Source organism: Homo sapiens, chromosome 10, assembly GCF_000001405.40.
Source record: "Homo sapiens chromosome 10, GRCh38.p14 Primary Assembly".
Taxonomy (NCBI): Eukaryota; Metazoa; Chordata; class Mammalia; order Primates; family Hominidae; genus Homo; species Homo sapiens.
In genome coordinates, this window is record NC_000010.11 from 24,626,095 (window position 1) to 24,649,594 (window position 23,500).

The 23,500-nt window shown below is 36.6% G+C and overlaps 1 protein-coding gene and 1 pseudogene across 25 annotated transcripts in view, besides 1 other annotated feature; one reads left to right on the forward strand and one right to left on the reverse strand.

Moving 5' to 3' along the window:
- The window catches only part of ARHGAP21 (Rho GTPase activating protein 21), a 140,274-nt gene that overhangs the window by 42,481 nt on the left and 74,293 nt on the right, over positions 1-23,500 (reverse strand). For 23 of the 25 annotated variants that reach the window (NR_160021.1, NR_160022.1, NR_160023.1 and 20 more), the window contains 3 exons: positions 8,917-9,009; positions 7,308-7,386; positions 3,902-3,956 (listed from right to left, as the gene is read on the reverse strand). The exons of 1 other annotated variant lie outside the window; for it this stretch is intronic. Coding sequence is in view for 21 of the 24 variants with exons in the window: in XM_047425561.1 (XP_047281517.1) it covers positions 3,902-3,956; positions 7,308-7,386; positions 8,917-9,009 (227 nt within the window). In the remaining 3 variants the exon portion in view is untranslated. Of the gene's footprint in view, positions 1-3,901; positions 3,957-7,307; positions 7,387-8,916; positions 9,010-22,736; positions 22,843-23,500 lie in introns of all 25 variants that reach the window. One more of the 25 variants, NM_001367450.1, reaches the window with a different exon arrangement.
- On the forward strand, positions 14,072-14,190 carry RNA5SP305 (RNA, 5S ribosomal pseudogene 305; annotated as a pseudogene).
- Positions 19,820-19,909: a silencer, noted in NCBI's record as "silent region_2222". NCBI's record gives its function as "represses an Ori minimal core promoter by ATAC-STARR-seq in GM12878 lymphoblastoid cells {active_cell/tissue: GM12878}" and the evidence as "EXISTENCE:reporter gene assay evidence [ECO:0000049][PMID:35858748]".

Genomic DNA, 23,500 nt, shown 5'->3' on the forward strand with positions numbered 1-23,500 from the left:
AAAATGTCCTGGCCAAATATTAGTTATACCCAAGAATCTCCAGAGTTATAAAAACCGATTAACTTAAAATTTAATCTTTGAGTCAATGGAGCCAAATGCTTAACAAAGTATCCTGGGTGATGAACCAAGAAGTATGCCCCGATCTAGTTCTCCTACCACTATCTCACTCAGGGAAGTATTCTCTTTGGTCAGTGCTACGGTCTGAATGTTTGTGTGTTCCCCTCCCCTAATTCGTATGTTGACACTTAATCACCAGTGTGAATGAGTTAGGAGATGGGGCCTCTGGGAGATGATTAGGTCATGAGGGTAGACCTCATGTATGAAATTAGTGTCCTTATAAAAGAAGCCACAGAGAGCTGCGTCAGCTCTTCCACCAAGTGAAGACACAGTGAAAAGGTACTATCTATGAGAAAATGGGCCCTCACGAGACACCAAATCTACCTGAGCCTTGACCTTGGGCTTCCCAGCCTCCAGAATATGAGAAATAAATTTCTTTGTTTATAGGCCATCCAGTCTAAGGTATTTTGTTACAGCAGCCCAAATAGACTAAGAGAGTCAGCATCATTGTTTAGGTGACCAGACTGGTGTGGCTATTTCACTCATGCATAGATAACATTTAATGGGGAAACAAAATCATTTTGGTTTTTGGAAATACAATAAAAAACCTTTTTATTTTGCAATAAACACGAACCTGTCTAAGATACCAGAGTCTAAAATATTACAACAAAATACTGTTAAAATGATTAAAATGAATGTAATACTATTTATATTGTTAACCTAGAAAATATATGCTGGTTTAAAAAATGAGGCTGCCAAGCACAGGACTCCTATTACTAGCACTAGTTTAAAAACATAAATGAATTATTCTTAATTTTACTTCATGGTTTTAAACATTCTATCATTGTCATCCATGAATTATGAAACCTATAATCATATACCTGTCCTTACACGAGTCAAATTTTAAGCCAAATTAAATTTTCTAGGCCACCTCTCAAAGGTGAGCAGAGCACTTCTAAAATAATTTGGTCTGTATATCACTTCAGGAAAAGAAAAAAAACCTCCATGCACTACCCAATCCTGTTGCCCAGGCAAACATATACAACCTACAAGTGTTTCCATGGGTAAATGATTTTTACAGTGGCTGTAAAAATGTTCACATTACCCATTGCTTTTCTTTACAATAAATATTCAACCTCATGGGAACAAATACATCTTTAAAAGCATATATTTTGAATAACAGATTTAAGATCTGCATAAGTACTTCTGAAGTACATTAAAGAACATTTTAACTCTGGAATATATGTTAGAGACAGAAAATTATATATTCCTTTGATTTCTTAATGAATTACACTACATTCAAATGTGAATTAAGGTTAAAAAGTAGAGTTTTCTTTTATGATTAAAGGCATGTACTTTTATTTCTTAATGATTAAAGTAATTCAAATACCATGTTTTAAAAATAAATTTTATGTTACAGTATACCAGAACTCTTTACTGCTGAGCCTTGAAGATCTGCATGCTCATGTTATTTACTGAACTGGTTTTTCTCTGTCTCTGGGATACTTTATATTTTACTTTTACTTTAGATTTACTTAAATAAAATTTAACAAGACAGACTATTCTAGAATATGAATGAGTAACAGAACAAAACTAATTTTTCTTTAAGTGACCTCTTTTTCCATTAATCATATCATTACAAAATTACTCCTTCCATTACATGAAGTGGTTTGCTGCTCTTCATCAATCACACTGCAGGATATCATGGCGATTCTGCATTTAATTGCTTCCATGCCAGCCATTCTGTGAAATGAGCACTGTTCCAAGAGCCATCCAACCAGTACCTTCACCTTGGCAAGGAAAGGGTCTACTGAAGATCGGAAAACAGTTCAGTTTCATAAGCTGATTCTGTCTTCAAGCCTTCAGATTGCAAGGAGGAAGCCAGGTAAATCCTTCGCTACCATATACACCATCTTCTGTATAAGAAGAGCACTAGAGAAGAATTCCCTATTTATTTCTAGTCTAGTTATTTTCATAGCCATTGGTGTCTGTGGTTATGTCTGCTACATGATCACTATGCTGAATTGTCAGGGTAGGAACTCTACAACCACTTTTGCATGTCTAGGAAAATTACTGCAGCAAACTGTATCTTCCTTCCTGAGCCTCCCAACTCCAACTGAACTGTGTACTTCAGAAGGGTAATTGTTATCGGTACTAAGCCATTCCTAAGTAAAATCTACATGCCTTGAAAACATGGGGTTAATCCCCATGAGTTTCACTTAATTATAGTTTACATGTCAGTGAATGACTCTTTAGGATCGGCTTTAGTGATTTTTTTTTTTATAAAACATGTTTACAGATTATTTATGGCCTTTGATGAGCTAAGTTCAAACTACTGCCTTACAAATGAAGAACATTACTATACCATTTCCATTACCACGACAAAGAGTCCATCAGCTCCCTGCTTTTCTTGAATTTAGCTATAGGTAATAAGAAAAAAACCCAATTGTTTACCAAAAAGAATTAAAAATAAATACTTCAGCGGCCACTGCCATTTCCTAGATCTGTTAGTTGTAAGTATGTTACTTAAAGAGTTTTTCTATTTTATTCTACAGAACTGCAAAATCAATTGAAGGAAAATGTTATTTTCTTGAATGAAATATGTGTGTGTGTGTGTGTGCATATATATATACACACATATATACACATATATACATATATATACATATACACACATATATGTACATATATACACATACATATATATACACATATATACATACATATATACACATATATATACATACATATATACACATATATACACATATATATACATACATATATATACACACACACACTATATATATATATATATATATATATATATATTTTTTTTTTTTTTTTTTTTTTTTTTTTTTTGAGATGAAGTTTTGCTGTTTCACCCAGGCTGGAGTGCAGTGGCGCGATCTTGGCTCACTGCAACCTCTGCCTTCCGGTTTCAAGCGATTCTCCTGTCTCAGCCTCCCAAGTAGCTGGGATTACAGGTGCCCACCACAATGCCCAGCTAATTTTTGTATTTAGTAGAGATAGGGTAGAGATAGGGTTTCACCACATTGGCCAGGCTAGTCTCGAACTCCTGACCTCATGATCCGCCCGCCTCGGCCTCCCAAAGTGCTGGGATTACAGGCGTGAGCCACCGTGCCCAGATGAAATTTATATTTTTATCATCAGCAGTATTTAAGCTTAGTAAAGGAGTTAAGTATTCTATTCAATTTCTTTCTTTATAAAAATCAGAAAAATATTTTAGACTAAATACTAAAGTTTTCAAGTTTCATTTCAAGACCATAACATATTTTCCCCTTAAGTTGTAGACTCCGTTCATTGTGAACATTTTAGGAACGAATTGATACTACTAACAATACTGCTTGGTGAATTTACAAACGTAATATTTATTGGAAAATTAGAAAATGGCAATCATAAAGTTTGTCCTCGTATTACAAAAATAAGATTCTATTTTTTTTTTTTCTCTGTACATAGTGAGAAGGAAAAAAAAAAAGATTCTAATTCCTGGGGATATGCACTTGCACTCTAAACTCTTCCTTTGGTCCAAGGATGAACTAGAAGGCAACACTAGGACAAACTCTTTAGGAATCTCATTCTAAATGAGAGCATTAAGAGTTCACTGTAGAATCAACATAACATTTCCATGTCACTTAATTGCAAAAACTTGGCAATGGTATTTTTGTAAAATGTAGAGAATTCCAGATTCTGTAAAAGGAACCAGAGGGTTTTTAAATTCTAGAATTTTTTTTAAATTCCATCTTTAATACTTCCATCTCAAAAATATTTTCCGAACATTCATGACTGTAAAACAACTCATATATGAATAAATAAAACTTACCACTTGGAGAATGTCTTCATCTTTTGGCATAACACTAAGTTCCAATGTTGTATCACTGAAATTGAATTATATACTATTTTAGGAGAGGTAGAAGTGTATAAAAAAAGACTTAATGGAAAAACAGTTAACTCAGAAGTATTTTTTAAATTGTTTAAGAGTTTATTCTGGTTTTCTTATATCTTAATTTTTAAAATCAAATCATTAGAATGAAAAGAAGTCACCTTTGTATACGTAAGTTAACTATATACAAAAGAGGGACGGACCCCTGCCATGTTTGTGCTATTCATAATCAGTAAAGTTTTCTTTATAACATGTTTCTAATTTAGAAATATAAAGTATGTTGCTTATATTAAATAGTCCCAGGACAAACTCTTAACAATATCAGTATACAATTATTTATTGTTTTATTCAAGTCACAAAACAAATTATAGATTGTTGTCATATATTCTGTTCAAGTTAAAATTCATTAACATCAAAGAACCCTCAAACTTAATATTTTAAGTAATTTTTTTTTTAGACTGAGTCTCACACTGTCACCCCGGCTGGAGTGCAGTGGCGCAATCTTGGCTCACTGCAACCTCTGCCTCCTGGGTCTAAGCCATTCTCATGCCTCAGCTTCCCAAGTAGCTGGGACTACAGGGCATGTGCCACCATACCCAGCTAATTTTTCTATTTTTAGTAGAGAGGAGGGCTCACCACATTGGCCATGCTGATCTGGAATTCCTGACCTCAAGGGACCTGCCCACTTCAGCCTCCCAAAGTGCTGGGATTACAGGCGTGAGCCACTGTGCCCAGCCAAGTAATATTAAACATCTTAATTTTGCAATATTCCCTCCTGGCCTCAGAAGTGAAGGAAATCGCTTTACTGTCACAACTACTGAGCTGACTCATTTTTAATAACTATATAACATTTCAACTATTTGCTTTTTTCCCTATGATTTACTTTTAGTGCCTTTACAGGGACAGCTCAAAGTCTAATTTTATTTTGGTTCTGTAAATTTCCTGTTGAAAATGATAGAGAAATTTCCCTAAGTTTAGAAAGTTCAAAGGGGTAAACAAAACTGAATCCTGTGATCTGGAGGTACATACAGATATGGCAAAGGTGCCGGGCGAAGTGGCTTACGTTCCCAGGCCAAGGTGGGTGGATCACTTGAGGTCAGGAGTTCGAGACCAGCCTGGCCAACATGTTGAAAACTCGTCTCCACTAAAAATACAAAAATTAGCTGGACGTGGTGGCAGGTGCCTGTAATCCCAGCTTCTCAGGAGGCTGAGGCAGGAGAATTGCTTGAACCTGGGAGGCGGACATTGCAGTGAGCTGAGATCATGCCATTGCATTCCAGCCTGGGCAACAAGAGTGAAACTCCCTCTCAAAAAAGAAATAATAAAATAAAATAAAATAAAAGTTATGGCAAAGGCAGTGCTACTATCTCCACCAAATGCTTCAACAGCTAATCTAACAATATCAGACATATTTTCCCCCAATACAGTCAAGAGATTAAGAAACAATCAACAACAAAAAACAAAATAATCTACTGGTGTCTCTTCTTGACAGATTTGAATCATTATGTTTAGTTTCATAAATGCTCAGATTATACTAAACCCATGAGAACCACAGGTTCAAATAAATTTAACTAGTAAAATATGTAGGTACTTTCATTTCAATATTTAGAGTTGGTAGAAACTGATGTTTAGATAAACTCCTGTGCAAGGACACATCTGTTTGTTTGTTGTTTTTGTTTTGAGACAGGGTCTCACTCTGACACTCAGGCTAGAGTGCAGTGGCTCTATCAAGGTTCACTTGATTAACCTCACTTGACTGACCTCCTGGACTCAGGTGATCCTCCCACCTCAGCCTCCCAAGTATCTGGGACAACAGACACACACCAGCACGCCCAGCTAATTTTTTGTAGAGACAGGGTTTCACCATGTTGCCCAGGCTGGTATCAAACTCCTAGGCTCAAGTGATCGGCCCACCTCAGCCTCCTAAAATGCTGGGATTACAGGCATGAGCCACTGCACCCAGCCCACAAGGACACATGTTATATTAATCCACTGCAGAATCTCAAGGGCTTTGTGGTGCATTACCCATTTGCTACCAACTGCAGACAGAAGAAAAACAACACTTTTAATGGAAATAAGATTATGAAAAAATATTTCTCTAATATTCAAATTGATTTTAGTGGTTGAAGTGTTATTATTCTGAAAGATGAACTGTACCAGTAACAGAAGAATCAATGTAGATTTTGAAGAAAACAATGATTAAGTTGGTTTTTAAAGAAGAGATATTAACAAATACACTAAGTCTTTTAAGTTATGGGCTGACAAAACATATCGTTGTATTTATGATGATCTAAATTATTTTGAGGAAAAAAATTCTGGCAAATCTGTTATCCCTTGGAGAGGCTTTAAATTCATTATCAACATTAGAGGCAATATTCAAGAGTTGTTTTCTGTTAGACTCCCATTAAATATTAAAACATTAAAGAAAACACTCTGAGATCAATTAATCATGACCATGTCATTTAATTGTAAGAAATGGCAATGTATTAGGGCATTAGTGTAAATAATTTAGATTACAGCATGAGCCACTCTAGACATACTTAGGAGAGCTTGATAAAAATCTTCAGAAAATGAACTGCACTTGAATTACAGACAGGTGAGTTTGGCCAACAGAAAGCATTAGATAATCCAAAAGTTCCTGTATTTGAATCTGAGAAGAACCTCTTACAACAGAGTGATGATCCGACTAGGCTCAGATCCATGGCCTAGCCTTGACAGAAATTCAATATGGTAACTCTTTGGTTTCTAACTTATTTGTAATTTGGAAAAATTTTCTAGTTGTGTGGGTGAAACAGAGTAGGACTAAATGATCTTCGAGGTCTCATAGACAGTCACTCTATAAATATGTATCTAACTTTAGAGCTCAAAATCCTACTATTCTGTAAAATGCAGGCAGGCAAATGGATTAAAAGGGAATGTCTTGTTGTCTTGGTTAGAACAAATGAGTTGAGGCTAGGAAGATTATTCAAAAAGATACTTAAAAGTAACATACCCCTGTAAGAGGTTTTAAAATAAACTATATATGCATTTATTTATATATTAAAAACAAATTATACATTTGTCACTTCAAATAAAAGGGGTAAACACAGTAAATCTAAAGTGTGTGCCTTACAGCCTCTATGGGATTTTAATCATAAATCTGATACATCTGTCAAACCAAAGCCACCAACTAAGCTATCCTCAGATAGCTGGTCCTTGGCAACTCTCAAATGCATTATATCTAAGGGAAAGTTCCACATCTCCTTGTCACCACAATTCCTTGTAAGAATAGAAGATTGTATTAAATCTATGTGCTCTATTGATCTATAAAACCCATCTTTGGGTTTTAATGTTTTAAGACTCTTACCTGTTTTGAATTAAAGCAATTACTTGGGAATAGGTTTTGCCAATAACACTTTCTCCATTGACTTTTATAATTCGGTCACCTTCAAAGAGAAGTTAAAAAACAAATGAGAGATCCTGCAGAAAGTCACTTTTGAACACTTTTGAAATATTTCTTGAATAATGTCCTTATTTTTAATGTCGTATATATTAAAATAATAAAATACAGAGTTGTGAGAAAATTATTAGTATCATAATTATAAAACAATTATATGAATATCCTAGCTTATTACTTTTAAAGTTTTTACAAAAGTAAATACATTTTAATATATCCAGCTTTTTGTGAAACTAGCCATGTTCTAAGTAAGAGTTCCAGTCATTACTGAATTTAGAAATTTCAAAAGGTCTAGTTACCAGGGGACCAGAGCTATACTACTTATGCTCCTATCAGTTGTTTCCTGAGTTGCAGAACTAATTATCTCTCCACGTACCCTGTCTTTTTTTCTCTTTTTTTTTTTTTTTTTTTTTTTTTTTGAGACAGAGTCTCACTCTTGTCTCCCAGGCTGGAGTACAGTGGTGCAATCTCGGCTTACTGCAACCTCTGCCTCCCGGGTTCAAGCAATTCTCTTTCTACTCTGAGTAGAGTAGGAAAGGAAAAGACAGAAACAAAGAACAGAGGAAAGAAGAAAATAGGCAAAAATGTACTTTTTGTGTGCTTATCACAGCATATCTCCACTTCATCTTCCCAATCATGTGGGGCTTAAAATACGACAGATGATACATTCTAAAGAAATCCCACATGCATACTAATATACATATTATACATATTAATGATATTTAAATCAGGCTTACTTTAAGTATAATAAAAAAAACTAAGGTGGGTAATACATTAACAGTACATCCTTATAAATCTTAGCAATGATGTCCACTACTTTCTAATATTTGTAGGTGAAAATATAGCATTGTATTTAAAAGGCAGTGAAATATAGCTTTTCAATAATTCCCATTTTAAATTGTCTAATGTTTAAAAAACAAAAGAAAAGAGTATTTTAGAGTGTGCACTAATATAAATGAAATCTCTACTTAGGGTTTATTAAAATCACAAATCACAAAACATTTTAGAACAAACAGCTACTATATCCAGCCAATTAAGCCACATATACTGACACCTTCAGATGAAGCCAGGCTTATGTTCCGCATTGGAGACTTAAGCCACTTTGTGCTGCAAATTAATTAACTCAACTCTGTCAGATCAGGCACTTCCAGAACTTGAAAATCCAAGATTATTTCACTTATATCAAATAAATACCTTCATCATTTTGCTACTTTGTAATCCTTTGTCAAAATTCAATGCATGCAAAATTTGTTCCTTTAAAGAGCCTCTAAGAGTCTATCATCTGTGTGGTAATTAAAAGTGCTCACAGTGTATCAATTTATATTGTTATTTCTGTTCAAACCCATTCATATGGGCACCAAGAAACATAATTAGTTCTCAAAATTAGTAACAACAGATGTGAAGGAAAAGGAAGAAGCATACAGAAAGATACAAAAGGAAAAAATATCGAACATGAAATATGGAAGAAATAAAGTGAAAAAGAAATTAAAACGTATTGTTTAAAGAAGAATATCAGCACCTGTACATAATCCAGCTTCAAAAGCAGGTCCTCCTTCTTTAACTTGCTTAACAAATATGGTATCCATTGGTTCCAAGCGGTTTCTTTGTTTTCCTGTTACAGAGAAGCCCAAAGCATGATTTTACTTCACAATACTTTACTAAAATACCTAAATATAAAATAGTATTTGAGAGAATTAAGCAAAGCTTTTTAATGAAATATTAAATACATATCCTGAATTTGGATGCTAAAATTATAATGTAGGGGTTTTCATTTAATTCAAACATTTATTTTGCTTCTTCCATAACATAATGACAACCACAACACTGTAATGCTTTCCATTTACTGGCTACATTCCGTATGTCAGTTGCCACACTAAATACTGTATCTCAGAGCTAATTTCCACAGCAAGTAAGTACTACTACTACCATTCATAAAAGAGGAAACTGAAGCTTAGAGGGATTAAATAAAGTCTCCAAGGTCAAACAGCTAACAAGTGCCAAAGATGATTACACAGGCGGTACTCACTCCATGGCTTTTGTTTTTTGTTTTGTTTTGTTTTGTTTTGTTTTTTTGAGATGGAGTCTCACTCTGTCACCCAGGCTGGAGTGCAGTGGTGCAATCTTGGCTCACTGCAACCTCCACATCCCGGGTTCGAGTGATTCTCCTGCCTCAGCCTCCTGAGTAGCTGGGACTACAGGTGTACACCACCCCGCCTGCTAATTTTTGTATGTTTTAGTAGAGACGGGGTTTCACCATATTGGCCAGGCTGGTCTCGAACTCCTGACCCCGTGATTCACCCGCCCTGGCCTCCCAAAGTGCTGGGATTACAGGCGTGAGCCACCGTGCCCAGCCTCTACTGCTTCTTAATACTGCATTGTGCTAAGCATTAAAATGTAACAATGAACAAGACATATTCCTTTCCCTTCAGGGAGTCTGGTAGGAGGAGAAAGACATACAAACAAATAACAGTATAGTATAAAAAACAATCAGAGACAAATACAAAATACAGTCATGGCAATGAGGAGAGCATGATCAACCCCGTAAGTCAGAATTTCACAAGCTGTTTTCCATGGATCATTGGCATTAACATCTAAGGTGTTTGCTAAAAATGGATGTTTTGGAGTCTGACCAGAAATCTGCTCTGTCAACAAGTTTCCCAGATGATCCTAATACACATTAAATTTTGAGAACAACTAGTTGTTTCAGTGAAATAGAAGTCAAGGAAAAATTCGCAGATGAGAGGACATTTAAGCTAAGTGACAAACAGCATAAGTATTGTGGGGGAAGAAGGAGGTACACGGTAGTTCTAAAGGTGTGGTCCCAGGACCAGCAGCATCAGTATCACCTGGGAATATGTTAGGAATGCAAATTTGTGGACCCCACCCTAGATCTCCTGAATCAGAAACTCTGAGGTGATTGTGATGCACACTTAAGTTTGAGAATCACTGAAGTAGAAGACACAGTCCTGACCCTTAAAGAAGAATGTAACTGAGAAAATAAGGCATATACATGTGTTGAGTAACATGATACTACTTGTTAAACAGCAATACTGGGCAAAAAATGATTGAGTGTCAAATACAAAGAGTTCATAATTATTGCCATATAAAACTGAATTGTTACCATAGTGTATGCACCAAGATGGCTTAAAGGAAGTTACTTAATAAAGGAATATCTATCACTAGCTCCCCTTAAATACTTAGCTATTTATTCTGAAAGACGCCCTCCAAAGCAATGAATGGCTAGATTTCAAAGGCAATGGGGCATAGTAGAAATTGCTTGTTTTAGAAGCGAGTAGACATCGGTCCAAAACACTTCCTTTGCCACTTGAAATTTTCTGTGTGCTACACTTTATTTTTCTTCATTAAACTTACAACCCACTACCTAAAATTACATTTTTATTTGCTTACATGTTTGTTGTATATCTCTCTAACATAAAGATCAGGAATTTTCGCAATGCTCACTAATATCCATAGCATAGAGCAGGCATTCAATAAATAATTATTCAATGAATTAATACATTTATTATTTAGTTTAAATTCACACAAGCCCTCAAGATGGGCATTATGATCCTAAAATTGCCATTTGAGTGAAGAGGAAAAAGAGACTCAGTAACTTGCTAAGAGGCAGCATAGGGATTTGAACCCTCAGGCCTGAATTCAAGTGTGGCAATTCCATGCTGCCTCAAAAGTAACTGAATGTGATTTATTTCTCAAGCTCTGCTGTATTCAAGTAGACAGTCCATTTGCAATTAATTTAAAAGGAAAAATACTTTCTTATCAATTCAAGTTGCTTAAAATGCAAACGCTGAATTCCTATCAAGTTGGTGATCAGGTTAGGTCAGTCTGTGGTCAATCTAATATTTACAATAGTTGGCATTAAAGAAAAAACATCTATCTTCTTGGCTAGATATCTAAAGGCTTAGTAAGTCTTGTTGCATCAAGTCACTGCTTTCATGGAAAGATTTATATAATAAAAGAGAAGAGACATTTTTCCTATTAATGTCTTCTAGTCCACTGTGTCTCAAAGGTGATTATTTCATACTTAAAAATACAAAATGTAAATGACCATTAATGAATTCTACAAAATAATAAAACGTTGGTTGGGTAGCAATGCGATGACTTCTGAAAATTCTGATAGAAAATTTCACTTACACAGAACAGAGGTGGTCCAAAATAATGTGGTGTTAATTCTACAAAAGAAATACTAATTTTGAAATGACTACCATTGTAAAGTCAGACATACTTTGCCACTGACAAATCTTTCAATACACTATGCCTGAAAACATACGAAGATGGAATAGATTAAAATAGAGTCCAATCCTATAGCAAGCACTGTTACATCTGCTGAGAGTTGCACTTTTAATTCTTGCTCACATTTTTTTTTTTTTTTTGAGACAGAGTCTTGCACTGTTGCCCGGGCTGGAGTGCAGTGGTGTGATCTTGGCTCACTGTAACCTCTGCCTCCCAGGTTCAAGCGATTCTCCTGCCTCAGCCTCCCGAGTAGCTGGGATAACAGGTGCCCGCCACCATGCCTGGCTAATTTTTTTGTATTTTTAGTAGAGATGGGGTTTCACTATGTTGGCCAGGCCGGTCTCGAACTCCTGACCTTGTGATCCACCCTCCTCGGCTTCCCAAAGTGCTGGGATTACAGGTGTGAGCCACCGAGCCCGGCCTCTTGCTCACTTTCCTTTCTGAACTTTCTCCAAAAATCTGACTTGCTACCTAGATATCATCCAATTCCTCCTAGAGAGAGAAAAACATTTCCTGTAAATATCCCTTAAATATAAGCAGATTTCACTATGAAATATACTTTTCTTCAATTTCTATACACCTTGACTCTATGTCTTGAGTTAAACACTTGACTCATGAATTTTAAGAGTGTCTTCTTTTTAAGATATGTGCTCCGCAATTTTGCCAGAACTGGAAATCAGAAGTATCATATTTAACACGTGTGTCATTCACAAGCTCTCTCAGGTCTTTAGCTTTTGTAAATACATTTCTAGATATGCAGAACTAAAAGCCTGATCCCGAATTGTGGTAATTCACCAGGAAAAGTGACTCCTTACTTCCCTGTATGATTACTTAGCAGACCCAGATGGCTTCCCTGGCAATTCTTAGTAAAAGCCTCTTTCAATTCCACATCTGTATTTTATAACTTCTCAATTTTTTGAGAACACATGGGACATGTTTCAAAGAACTGTTAAATACCTTATTCAAATATCATTTCCTAACCTTATCAAAAGAGAGTGTGCCTTTTTGGCACATACATGCAGTTAAATCTTCCTATATTTGTAGAAAAGAAGGTAAAAAGACAATTATCTTACATGGATGAGAATGGCTAAAGTAACCAGGTTCAAAAAAAGTCCCATTTTATGTTATAATATATAATTAGTACTGACTTAAAAAGACATAAAAAGCACATGTAAATTTACCTGAACTTGAACACTACACTTGAAATCAGAAAGAATACACATACGTCTACAATGAAGTAAATATGATCAGTTGGGGGAAAAATAACTTGAGTAAAAAAATTAATTATATATAGGTAGTAGCTGCCATCTAAATACTGAATGTTCAGGTGGATGTGATTCTTATTCTCTATATTCATTATAATGCAACAGTTAAGACCTTGGGCCCTATAACCATATTACATGGTTTAAAATCCCACCTCTGTCATTCATTTTCCAAGTGGGGTCATCAGATTTTGCAATATTTGATACATATTTAAACTAAAAAATAGTAGTAGTCTATCTGAAATTCAAGTTTAATTGAGCATTCTGTATTTCATATGACAACCCTATATCCAAGTGATTTTAGATGAATGATTTGTATGTGCCCCCAGTTTACTGATCTGAAAAATGGGGATGATAATAATTATTCCTACCTCGCAAGGTTGTTGTGAGGATTTAAAAAAGATAATCCAGTAAAGCATTTATATAATATCTAGTACATGCAGGTATTTGTTAAGTATTACTTATTATTATGATAGACCTGATTATAAACTTTTCAGGTTTACAAACAGATCAGAGATGATCTTGGGTACACAGAGCCTGTCACATCGCAAGTGAGCAATAAATACTGGTTGAAAGGACACTCATCAAATTCAACTGTCATATTATAGGGAAGTCAAGGAATACTGCCGGGGGAGGGGATAGGACGAGAAACATGAAAGAAAAGAAAGTAAAAAGAGATTATACTAAAAAAATTTCCAATAACTCTGACACAAACTATACACCTGTCTTCAAAGAGATTGTGTCTAAAACCAAAGTGCTACATCTATAGGCCTGGGGGCTTTGTCAGTCAAAAAGGATGAGTTAAATCTCTAGTGACCTCCTTCTTTGGAGAAAGCCTAAGACAAAATCATTTGCAACATCTAAATTATTTGAAATTTTTAAATATTATTTGAAATTTCTAAATATTAAGTATACAAAAAAAAACCACACTAAAGCTAATAGATTACTTTTAAGAAGCAACAAAATTTGAACTATGACAGTTACAAAAAGGACTCTGTAATGAAGATCACAGAGAAACAGATCATGATAGTAAGAAAATCCTACAGTTCTGAGGACAAGAGAAACATATTTCTTAACAGACTGGAAAAATATATAGTTTATACAAAGAAAAACTATCCCACATTTTAATCAAGAGCAAAGCAATAGAAAATAATGGCTCTTGTCTATGGCCATACCACCTTAAATGTGCCCAATCTTGTCTGATGTCGGAAGTTTAGCAGGACTGGGGCTGGTTAATACTTGGATGGGAGACTGCCTGGGAATATCAGGTGCTATAGGCTTTAAAATATATATATATATATATAAGAAAGAAAGAAAATAATGGTTATAACTGAGATTGAGCTTTTGTTTCTTCTCTCTCAGAGTTCCCAAACTTGCTATTGGAGAATTTTTTTAATTAAACCAAATCTCTGCTTTTATGAGACTTATTTCAAAAAATGGTATTTTTTCCATTGGTTTCTTTGTTGCCAAAGAAAAATCTCTATCTTTATACAACAAAAGGCTGTTGAAATGAGACTATGCTCCAATCTGAAAGTCAGATAAGCCTCGCAAGAAGTATACCCTCCAGAAAGGTGGAAAACTAAAGAGGTTTATCACATAATGGAATATGAAGGCACCAAGCATCAGCTATTTAAGGGAAATAAATAGCATATTGAAATTAATATCTATTTTTCAGATAAAAAATAACTGAAACCCCAACACAGACTGAAATACATAGCAAAGTTATGTCTGAGTGATGAAAAGGGATCTTTATTTCTCTTTGATGGAAAATAGACTGCCACAGAAAAAAAACAGCATGTAGAAGAATTTATTGAGCAATAGGAATGTGGATCTATTAAGGAAAAAAACAAAAATAAGGAGTAATATACACCAAATTCAGGCTAGTAATTACCTCTGGAGGAAGGGAATAGGAAAAGAGTGGCATAAAAGGGCCTTATTATATTTGCAGTCATTTATGTCTTCAGGAGAGAGAAACAGAGAAGGAAAAAGAAAGGTTATGAGGGGGTGGAGGTGAAGCTGAAATGTTAAGATGACAAAGATGGGTGGCAAGCATTTAGAAGTAACATTTTTGTTTGCCTAAAATATTTCATAACTAGTATTTCTTATTGTTGACAACAGGCTTCTAACTTTTATTTTGGGAATATGGTTTACTGGTATCTTAAGAGTCTAACAGAGACACAATGTCCAACATTAAAAATCCATATGTATCATATGATAAATATATCCTATATAAGTCATTAAGCAGAATCCAATTTAAGAGGACTGCTGTGGCAGATTATTAGTCCTTTGTTTGTTTGTTTTTTGGTAAGGAGAGAAGCACTAAGAAAGATGTGCCAACTTATTAAATTTAGGTGTTCCCCAAATTCTCACTCAAAATGCTCTCACTTGCAGGTGACAGCTAGCACTTTAAAATTATATCTCCAAGTCTCCAATCTGCAGATCCAGCAATTACCATGAGCTCCCAAACCCAAATTCCAATAATCTCTGGATACTGTCAGTAGAATGTCACCTGTCAGGTCTCAATCACATTATATCTATTATTAGTAAAAACATACTATCTTTCTACTCAACCTGATCTTCAAGTAGTAACAAATAGAACAAAATGAAATAAGAAAGTTTGTTTAATATAAAAAAGCAAACCATGTTCTAACTGAATCATGCTAACCTTTCTTTCAACCCACACCTCTCTAGTTTTTAAAAGGTTTTACTGGCCAGGCATGGTGGCTCACGCCTGTAATCCCAGCACTTTGGGAGGCAGAGGCGGGTGGATCACGAGGTCAGGAGTTCAAGACCAGCCTGGCTAAGATGGTGAAACCCTGTCTCTACTAAAAACACACAAAAAATTAGCCGGGCATTGTGGCACATCCCTATAATGCCAGCTACTTGGGAGGCTGAGGCAGATAACTGCTTAAACACGGGAGGTGGAGGTTGCAGTGAGCCTAGACTGCGCCACTGCACTCCAGCCTGGGTGACAGAGCGAGACTCCATCTTGGAAAAAAAAAAAAAAAAGTTTTACCGTGGAAATGTCCAGCATACACAAAAGTAGAGAGGACAATAAAGCCCATGAATGCAGCTTAATTATAAAAACATTTTCAATCTTGTCTTGTTTCATTGAAACCCACCCACTTTAAAACATTTTAATGCAAATCCCAGATATCATGTCATTCATAGGTACTTTAAATATATCCATACACACCACTAACAGATAAGAACTGTACATTTTCTTAAAAGCAAGAAACAGGGGCTCACGCCTGTAATCCCAGCACTTTGGGAGGCCGAGGCGGGCGGATCACGAGGTCAGGAGATCGAGACCATCCTGGCTAACACGGTGAAACCCCGTCTCTACTAAAAATACAAAAAATTAGCCGGGCGTGGTAGCGGGCGCCTGTAGTCCCAGCTACTCGGGAGGCTGAGGCAGGAGAATGGCGTGAACCTGGGAGGCGGAGCTTGCAGTGAGCCAAGATCGCGCCACTGCACTCCAGCCTGGGCGACAGAGCGAGACTCCGTCTCAAAAAAAAAAAAAAAAAAAAAGGAAGAAACAAAATCCTTCAACAGTTCTTCACAGTATGTAGCATTCTGCACTATGTGATCGGTACTGCAAGCTGACAAACAAACCCACTCTATTTTCATCTTCCTAAATACCTACTTAACATTAATAAAAAGCAGTATGTCATGACAGAAATGATAGCCCCAAAGGCTATGAAATAAATTTAGAAAGGTTTCACATGTAAAAATCATATGAGAATCCTAAATTAAGTGCCTTAACAAGTAGCCCAGTGCAACTGCTCTACCTATGTATTCAAGTTCAGTAAGTTCATATACGCACGAGAATATACAGGACATGAAAATCTCCAGCACACAGAACACTGCATGGCACACAGTAGATGCTCAATAAATGTTTGCTAATTAAAATTAGAGCCCTGGAAAATGCTAATAGTAAAAATTCCCAAAACCAGCTTGGAGAGTTGTTTCAGGGACAAAGCAATAGTGCTACGACTAATCTGTACTATTTCCCTCAAATAGTATAAGGAAAATGCTGCCACTCAACAGCAGTTTAAGTACAGTACCACTAGGTGTCGGACATGAATCAAAATTTTCTGGCATTATGAACTATCCAGGCAAGAAAGACTGTGGATGGGTGTTATTCATTCAACAAATATTTACCGAGCTCTTACAAATGTGCCAGGCATTGATTATCCTACAATGAACAAAGAATCCTGGCATCTGCCTTCTAAAGTATTTAAAGTTCATGTAGCATTGTACATTTCACATGTAACATTTCACACACAGTATTATCATATCTAGATTCATAGCCCTATTATTTCTGTTATGCTAGAATTTAATTTCTCTGCAAACTCAGAAAAATTTGTTATGGTGCTCTAACCAACTATCTTTCTATCTGACTTTATCACCTCTCAATCCTTTAACCAATTAAACTTGCTTGACTTTATCAAGACCTTCCATTCCCTTTAGCCTTCTCCATTCTTCTAAACTATCAGTCTCCCTCCAGAAATTACTATCATGCTCACTTCGGCAACATATATACTAAAATTGGAACAGAAGTTACTTTCTTTCTTACTAAGATTACCCGTGGATCAGTATTTCAACAAAATTGACCAGTACCCTCAACTTCCTTTCCCCTTAACCTTTCAAAGCATTCGATGTGCCAATCTCTAACTACGGAGAATTCCAAAATACACCTGCTCTGTTCTTGTTCTTGGCCTGCTACTACAGCTGAATAAAACTGCAGGACAAGCATTGATTTACAATTTCCCAGTTCAGCTAAGTTCTTGACACTACTCAGAAAAGTCTCTTGCTTGCATTTTAATTCCTGTCCCCTCAAGGTTGCTGTTTCAAACTTCTAGTAACCTTCTTTTTTATTTATTTTTATAGAGACAAGGTCTTGCTACATTGACCAGGTTGATCTCGAACTGACTTCAAGCGATCCTCCTGCCTCGGCCTCCCACCCAAAGTGCTAGGATTACAGGCATGAGTCACCACACCCGGCCATCATAAACCTCTTTAACTTGCTGTTCCATGCTGATTTCCTCACACTAGTTCAATAACCTTGTCTCCCAGTTCACTCAATTGCTATATCCTCAACTTTTTTTTTCTTTGCCTGTCCTCATTTTCTTCGTCCTATTTCAGGTGGGGATTTAGTCATCAGTCCTCTTCAGGACCTTGCCACCATAATTCTCTCTTCTCACATGTAAAACTTCATGTGAGAAAATCCCTAGTCTTCTCTCCAAATCTCATGGATATATAAATGCTTCCCAAACAACAAAAGTTCTCTCCACCTTTCCATATAGCTACCCTCTCTATCCCTTTGTTTTTCAAACTACTTACAAATGTAGTGTATGTATCGCTTACCTTCAGTTACCTCTAATTCAGGGTTTCTCAGAAATTAACAAATACCTCCTTGGGGGAAAACTGCCAACTACCCCACCCTGACCTTGTCACGGTTTGCTGCTCTAATTTTTATGTTCCAACCCACTTCTATCTGTCTTCCTCCTCCCTTCCGTCCACTGCACTGAAACTGTTCTCAGTAACTTTACCAAACTGCCATTTGTCAGGTCTAGTCCAACTGTATCCCTTTAGTCCAAATCCTAATGAATTCTCTAAGACAAAGGACAAATTTTCCACTCCCCTTGCCCCACTTAAAATTATCACCTCCTAATAAGCAAATTACCAACTCCTCCTGGTTGTCCTCAGACCTTTCCACTACTTACTCTCAAATTTCCTTTCTGATTCTTCTTTCTCTGACCAGCTCTTAGAGTCCTGTCTTCATTCTACATGTCTTTGTCCTCTCTGTGTATGGTTTCACTTACACTTAAGACTTAATTATAACATATAAAATGACTGTCAAATCTATTTTCAACCCCTAACCTCTTTCTTGAGAACTCTAGAAACAAATTTTCAGCTAGATACTGAACTCTCTACAGGCATCAGAAATGCAACTTATCCCAAATTAAACTCATTTCTCCAGAGGAAGGAGAGATATATTTCACTTCAATATCCTTCAGTCCTTCATTTAATGACACCTCCATCTATCCAGTCACTCAAGTCAGAAAAACATAATGCTCCACAAGGCATCTTTAACTGGAAACACACACTCCATCCTAAAATCTTTCAACCAAATCTGGGCAAATGTAACTTCTAAATGTCTCTAAAATCTGTTCTGGAATGCCATTTTTCCTTCCTCCTGATAAACTCCTATTCATCTGTTAACAACCCAATGGACACCCCATCTGAGATCCCCTCACCTGGTGGTTAAAACTGACTTCAAAAAGTTCCAGCCAGTTGTGGTGGCTCATATCTGTAATCCCAGCATTTTGGGAGGCTGAGATGGGTTGATCACCTGCAGTCAGGAGATTGAGACCAGCCTGGCCAACATGGTGAAACCCCATCTCTACTAAAAAAAATACAAAAATTAGCAGGGTGTGGTGATGAGCGCCTGTAGTCCCAGCTACTAGGGAGGCTAAGGCAGGATAATCGCTTGAACCCAGAAAGCATAGGATCCAGTGAGCCAAGATTGTGCTGCTATACTCCAGACTGAGCAATAGAGTGAGGCTCTGTCTCAGAAAAAAAAAAAAAAAAGTAGTTTCTAGTTTGGTGGAGGATATAAGTATAAAATAATTACCTAAGTACAAAAATAAAGGTACATGAAATTGTTGTAGGATCATGGCACAAGGAATCAGAGCCTGTATTCTACATATATTCATTAGATGTATATGTGCCAGGAACTGTTCTGGGCTTTAAGAGATAAAGAAAATAAAGTTTCTGCTCTACATTCCAACTGAGAGAGAAAAATGCTGAGGAAGAAATAAGTAATATGAGAAATGGTGACAACTGCAATGGAGAACAATAAGCAGAGTGAGAAGGAAAGGAAGAGGGAAAGGCAGGGCTGTTTTTCTGAAGTGGTCAGGGAAGGCCTCTCTAACAGGTGACATGTGCACAGCTATCTGAAGGAAGTGAGGTTAGAGGCCACATCACTTCCTTCCCAGTAATTAGTTTAGTGAGTGGCTCACAGGACTGACTCAACAGATGTTTGCTAAAGGAACAAATAAACAAAAATTATATTTCTGATTTAATGTGCTTGGCATTTACATGTAAATATTTCTATTCTGTTTTTATAGCAAAGATGAAAAATTATCTGTTAAACATCAAAAACAGGGACTGTAACTATTATAATTAAATCTTTACTACATGGATTTATGAATCACGTACTTTCAATGTAGGCTAACTAGCTGGAGAGCAATCAGGAAAGAAAATGGGACTACTCAACTAGGGGGTGTCTATGATTAAGGTCTTAAGTTATGGAGCAGCTGAAAAAAAAACACAGCTCAACTTCTATGAAATCAACTTGGCCAGGTGTGGTGGCTCATACCTGTAATCCTAGCACTTTGGGAGGCAGAGCCAGGAGCCTAGTACAAGACCAGCCTAGGCAACATGGCAAAACCTTGTCGCTACAAAAAATACAAAAATCAGTCAAGCACAGTGGTGCAAGCCTGTGGTCCCAGCTATTCCAGAGGCTGAGGTGGAGGCTGCAGTGAGCTGAGATTGTACCACTGCACTCCAGCCTGGGAGACAGAATGAGACCCTGTATTTAAGGGGGAAAAAAATGGCTCAGCATGGTAGCTTGGTCTTGTAATCCTAGCACTTTGGGAGGCCAAGGTGGGAGGATCACTTGAGCTCAGGAGTTCAAGATCAGCCTGAGCAACATAGTGAGAACTTGTCTCTAAAAAAATTTTAATAATAAAAAGAAACCATTATACAATGATTTGATCATTATACAATGCATATATGCATTAAAATATCACACTGCATCTCATAAATATGTATAACTGTCAATTATAAATTTAAAAATTAATTTAGAAAAAAAAGCTCAAAATTACCTAATTACAGAGTTACCTCTAGAGTAACATTTCTATAAAGAAGTTCCTTCCAGAGGAGAAATTAATATTCTGCAGAACATTAATACTCCGCCATGCACTTTTCTTCTTTTTCACCTGTATCGTCCTATCTATTCAGTGTCTCCAATTAGTTCTCTGCAATCCTAAATTTCATGTTAAGTGTTTTAGAACCCTTGAAGAGATTTTTTAAATTTCATTTATTTTCTTGGCTGCCAAATTAACTTCATGCACTGTTTTTCAAACTCTTAAAACCTACTCCTAGAAATGGAACTTCTGACAATGCTACTTGAATCCAGTTGAATTCCTTGCATTTTAGATCACTATAAACAAGGTTTCCCAGGACTTGAAGTAAAATATTTTTTTTAACCTTTCATCTAACTTGACCACCTTACTTTACCAGTTTATTTTACAAAGAGGAAGTTCAAGTTGTTATGTAAATCCAAGATTACCATGTTTTTGTTATTACTGTTCTAGCTTATACACATAGCAGCTATGGGAAACTGATTTCTAAATCAAAAGAGTGTCACTGGCACTTTGTGTTAGAGAGGTTGATGGGAAAAGACAAAAGAAAAGTAGGAGGGCAGTCAGAAATCTGCTTTTCTTCTTCAACAGCAGAGGTTAGATACTAACATAGTAAATTTTGCAGCTTTGAGAGCAGTCATTTTAGAAGCTTGTGCCAATTCAAGATGGTGGTCATCATTAGAAATACCCCAGTGCACCTCCCTTTATTCAACACATTTACTCAGCAAACATCTGAGCTCCTACTATATGTACCAGGTACTTACTAGGCACTGAAAACTCAGCAATAAAAGACAATTTCTATCCTTAATGATCTTTGCTCTGAAAGTAATACATAAAAGAAATTATTTTCCATAAAAATACTGAAAAGTCAAAGTATGTAAGAAAAGTTTACTTTGTATATTCTTTTCTCTTTTTTCCCCAGACAGTCTCACTCTGTTCCCCAGGCTGGAGTGCAGTGACACGATCTTGGCTCACTGCAACCTCTGCCTCTTGGGTTCAAGTGATTCTCCTGCCTCAGCCTCCCAAGTAGATGGGATTTACAGGCATGTGCCACCACACCCGGCTAATTTTTCTATTTTTAGTAGAGACGAGGGTTTCACTGTGTTGGCCAGACTGGTCTCAACTCCTGACCTCAGGTGATCCACCCACCCCGGCCTCCCATAGTGCTGGGATTACAGGCGTGAGCCACTGTGCCTAGCCTGCATATTCTAATGCTCAGTCTTTGCCTCTCGTTTCTCTATTTGCCTTCATTAGGTTCGTGCTGCTGCCACCACCTCCCTCGAACAGGTACGTCAGGAGGAAGAAATTCCCTACTTGTTTACCACATAGCATGAACAATCACTCAGATTGTCTCCAAAATATGAGTAGAATTTTCCAGTAGAGAATTAGGGAAAAGGTCTATAGCTTTCGAAAATTGTGAAACACCAATCTACTTCATCTTATACAAAATATCCCTTCAAACATCTGAAAGCAGCTATCACTTTTTCCCTAAGCAATTCTCTTTCAAGCAAAGTTCCATGTTTTCTCCATCTTCTTTTTAAAAATACATATCATAGGTCAGCCGGGTGCAGAGGCTCACGCCTATAATCCCAGCACTTTGGGAGGCCGAGGTGGGTGGATCACCTTGAGGTCAGGAGTTCAAGACAGCGTGGCCAACACGGTGAAACCCTGTCTCTACTAAAAATACAAAAATTAGCCAGGCGTGGTGGTAGGTGCCTATAAACCCAGCTACTCGGGAGGCTGAGGCAGGAGAATTGCTTGAACCCAGAGGCGCAGGCTGCAGTGAGCCGAGATGGTGCCATCGCACTCCAGCCTAAGCAATAAGAGCAAAACTCTGTCTCAAAAAAAAAAAAAAAAAATCATCATAGGTCAAAATGTATATATATTCTTACCATCACAGCCCCTTTATATCTGAGGCTCCCAAGTGTTTTAATCATGTCCTAGTCAGTCAGAAGACAACCCTGGAGACCTCCTTTCCCATATTTTCCCACCTGTCCACTAGAGAAAAACAAAATAAATATTTTGAAATTAACTTGTTACTAGCTACATATAGAATCACTTTTATTACCTTTGTGTGTGCTTATGTATGCATATGTGTACATGTGTATATATGTATATAAGTGAGTTTATACAGTTTACATGAGGAAATATTACCCATAATAGCAAACTACAGATAACTTGGTAATTTTATTATAACTACATCTTAATAGGACAAATACATGGGTAGCAAATTATCTAATGACTTATCCATGTACTAGCTAACTGGGCTAATATAGAGAGATGGGTAATTTATATCTGAACCATAGTGTATATACATGTAAAACCTAGCTGCTAGAAAATTATATCCTAAAATATTATTGATACCAGTGAAACAATATATGCCCAGGCCACTGAACATGAGCATCCACTTTAAGGACTTTTCTACCCAGCAAATAGAAGAAAAAGCCCAAGTCCAGTTAGGAATCTCTATCAGGAGACTCTCCCGCACTTAAGAGGAAGGGTAACTACAAATAATGCCCCCACCAACCCAGAGGCTACTTTGGAGCTGAACAAAGTAGGAAAAAGAAAAAAAGGAAGGGGAAAGATAACTCTAAGAAGTGGCCATGGGCTAAACTGCACATGGACATGGATTTTTAGGCTAACTCAGGTAACAGCC